The sequence below is a fragment of the Homo sapiens genome, chromosome 2, assembly GCF_000001405.40.
Source record: "Homo sapiens chromosome 2, GRCh38.p14 Primary Assembly".
NCBI classification, from domain to species: domain Eukaryota; kingdom Metazoa; phylum Chordata; class Mammalia; order Primates; family Hominidae; genus Homo; species Homo sapiens.
In genome coordinates, this window is record NC_000002.12 from 157,209,047 (window position 1) to 157,213,285 (window position 4,239).

Sequence of the window (4,239 nt, forward strand, 5' to 3'; positions counted from 1 at the left end):
TTTACCCCTGTTTTTACAGTCTTAAATGGAGGTTAGATTATTAGTTTTCACCCTTTTAAAATATTTTCTAATATAAACATTTGATTCTACACACTTGCAATTAAGCAGCTCTTTGGTTATATTACCCCAAATTTAATATGCCATATTTTCATTCCATTCAAAATATTTTTTAATTTTTCTGATTTTTTAATACAATGTTTAATACTTTGTTTAATTGCCAAATATTTATTGATTTTCCATATCTTTCTGATATCAAATTCTAGTTTGATTTTATTTTGGTCTGAATATATATTTTGTATGATTTTAATTTTGTGTTGTTGTTGGTGTTAAGACAGAGTCTCGCTGTGTCGCCCAGGTTGGAGTGCAGTGGCCAGATCTGGGCTCACAGCAACTTCTGCCTCCCAGGTTCAAGCGATTCTCCTCCTCAGCCTCCCAAGTAGCTGAGACTACAGGTGCTAGCCCCCACGCCTGGCTAATTTTTGTATTTTTAGTAGAGATGGGGTTTCTCCATGTTGGCCAGATTGGTTTTGAATGCCTGACCTCATGATCTGCCCGCTTCAGCCTCCCAAAGTGCTGGGATTACAGGCATGAGCCACCGCACCCGGCAATTTCAATTTTTAATGTTTGCAGCATTATTAATGGCACAGAAAATACTCAATGTTAACTAAACAGTTCCACGTAAACTTAAAATAATTTTTCCTATTGTTTGTTGGAAAATATTCTATGGAAAATATTCTAATATTTTACCAATGAGGTAAAAATGGTTGACAGTACTTTCTAAGTCTTCTAACTGATTTTATGTCCACTTGTATTATTTATAGAGACAGGAATTTTGAGTTTTCCCACTATAATTGTGGATTTGTACCTTTATCCTTTCAATTCTATCAGTTTTTATTTATATATTTTGAAACTCTAATATTAGAAGAATATACATATAGAATTGCTATTTTTCCTGGATTAAATTACCCCTTTATTACTATGTAATATCCCTTTATGTCTCTTGTAAACTTTCCCGTTCTCAAGTCTACTTTATGTAATGCTAATATACCTACTTCAGCTTCTTTTGACAAGTGTCAAAGTGACCAAGTCCTTTAACTTTGAATGTATCTATAGCCTTATATTTAAAGTGAGATTCTTGTAGATAGAATATACTTGTCTTGCCCTTGTTAATTCAATTTGGCAATACCTAGCTCTTAACTGACAAATTTACATGATTTACATTTAATATAGTTACCAATATGATTGGCTTTAAATTTACCAATTTGTATTTACAAATGTGTGCTATATATTTTTTATTTTAAAATACATTTAATAAAAATAACCCATAGTTTTATATATTTTACATGTGTAGAATATTTACAAATTCACTTCCACAGCATTTACTTAATGTTTACTATTTTTTCATTATTTGCCTTTTTGACTATTTCCTTCAGTAGTAAAATGTTGTCCAGTGTTCTCTTTAAAAAATTAGTTTCTTGGGCAATCCTCCTTGTTCCAAGGCCTGTGTTCTTTTCCTTTTTGTCGCCAAAGCAGGATTTGATTGCTCCTTTAAGGTTTCCACTGGACAGTTGGGTCTTGGCAGCTGACATCCAGGTGTTGGCCCTGGCCGATTACTGAAATACTTCATTTTCAGTGCCTGTGTGGCCGTAATTCGAACACATGGATTAAATAAGAATAAGCCTTGTATGAGATCTAGTAAGTCGTCTCCTGCTGCACTGAAGATGTGATGCCATGGGATTCCAGGGAAACTCTTAAATGTCACATAATCTGGAAGACTACACATGTCCGGCCACTGTTCCTCAGTTGGTGTGCCCAAATATTCTTGTTAGCTGATCAAGCTCTGAATCTCCTGACAAAAAAGGAACCCTTAGAAGTAACTCTGCTAATATACAGCCAACAGCCCACATGTCCACACCTACACCATACATCCTAGCTCCAAATAGTAACTCAGGGGCCTGATACCACCTGGTTGCAACCTGATATGTATAAGCTCTACTGGGGCTCCCAAATGATTTGGCCAGGCCAAAATCTGCCAGTTTTAGAACTCCATTTTCATCTAGCAACAAGTTGCTTGGTTTCAGATCCCTATGTAGGATCCAATGTTGATGTAAATATTCTAATCCTTGAAGAGTCATCAACATGCAGGCTTTGATGTGTGACGGTGTCAGCACAAGACTATTATCCTTTATTATAACCTCTAGATCAGTTTCCATAAAACCAAAGACAAGGCTAATATTAGACTTACATCCAAAAGCATCAAGGAGACCAATTATATTTGGATGACTTAGCTCTTGTAATAATTGTATCTCTCTTAAGGCTGTTCTGTTTATACCATTTTTAGCTTCTGATCTATGTCCAAGTTTGATTTTCTTAATGGTGACAATTTGGTTGGTATTCTTATCTCTGGCCTTGTAAACCGTGGCAAACTTAAAGCCTCCAACAGCCGCTTCTGTCCACCAGGCTCCATTGCATTAGTATCTATATATTCTTCTTTTTCTCTTCTTTTTTCTGCTGTCCTTTTGTGTTAAATGAGCATTTTAATTATTCAATTCTATAGTCACTATTGGCCTATAAGATAGAGCTTTTTGAATTTTTTTACTGTTTTCTCTAGGATTTACAATATACATGTTTAACTTCTTACAGTCTAAATTTTAGGAATATATCACTTCAATATGTTGTAACAGCCACACATCACTTCCTTCCACTAATTCTTTGTGCTATTATTTTGTTATGTTTTACTCCTAATTAAGTTACAGTCTCCCCACTGTACTGTTACTATTTTTCTTCAGTCTTTCAGAAGTATTTTTAAATGAATTTTTATATTCTCACATCTTTACTATTTAGAGTGTTTTATCAATATTTTGTATAGATCCAGATATTTATCATGTATCATAGTCCTTCTGACTGTAAAACTTTATCATTTCTTATGGTATAAAACTTCACTGCCAATGAATTTTCTCATCTTTTGTTTGCTTAAAAAGTACTCTTTTATTTTCATTGTTAAAAGATAGTTTTGTGTGGTATAAAATTTTGAGCGAGTTAACCGTTTTTTTTCTTGTACTTTAAAGATATTGATTTATTGCTTTCTGCCTTATTTAGTCTCTTATGAGAAGACTGCTCGCATTCTTATCTTTGGTCTTCTATATATAATCGTTTTTTTTTTCCTTTGGATGCTTTTAAGATTTTATCTTCATATTTGGTTTTCAGAAGTTTAGCTTTCATATGCCCAAGCATTTTTTAATTACTTTTTCTGCTTTAAACCCTGGCTTTTTAAATCTGCTATTTGCTCTCTTTTATTCATTTTGGAATATTATTTGCCATTATCTTTTTTAATATATTCTGTGCCATAGTCTCTTTCTTCTCCTCATAAAACCTCAATTATATGTATGTTAGATTATTTGATATTTTTCTATGGCTACTGAATATTCTATTCTCTTGTTATTATTGTTTCTTCATTTTTCTGTCTTTTTTAGTTTGGATAATTTGCATTGGTCTAACTTAAAGTTCAACAATTCCTTTCACTGCTATATCCAGACTGTTGATAAGTCATTCAGCAGAAAATTTATCAAATAAATTATTCTTCTCTGTTTAGCATGTTTTAAAAAAATTTCTAGCATTCTCACTTGATTTCTTTTTAAATTTCTATATACCTGCTGAAATTTCTCATTTGTTCATACATGTGTTAACCTTTTTTACCGCACTCTTTAACATATTTAACATAGTTGTTTTGAAATACTTCCTCTAAAGTACCATGATCTTATCACATCTTGGTTTGATTCTGTTGACTCCTTTATCTCTTGATAATGGGCAATTTGTCATAGTCGTTGATATTGTTTGTGTGTACTGTATAATAATACATTGAATGTAGGCATCATGGCTAAAGAAAAATTGAGAGTGAGGTAAATCTACAACAGGAAATGGGCACATTTCTTATGTCAGTTCGTTAATATGGAGGTGAGGTCACTCTAAGTAGTAGTTGAACTCAGTTGGATGTGGTTGTGACTCTAATTACCTTTGATTCACCATAGACTTCAAATTCCTCCAGTCATAGACTACTACTACCTTGTGCTTAGGTTGAGGCACCTAGGGTGCTGGAGGGTTTTAACAGTATTTCTGCTCCATCCCACCTTTTAGCAGACCTTTCATCCCCATGCCACAGAGTGGGTCTCCGTTCAGTATCTTTCCCCTTTCCCAGAGAATATACTGCCTGCATTAGCTTTTTTCTAGGTACAAGGCTTT

The 4,239-nt window shown here is 33.6% G+C and overlaps 1 pseudogene; it reads right to left on the minus strand.

Moving 5' to 3' along the window:
- Nucleotides 1,290–2,479, minus strand: CDK7P1 (cyclin dependent kinase 7 pseudogene 1; annotated as a pseudogene).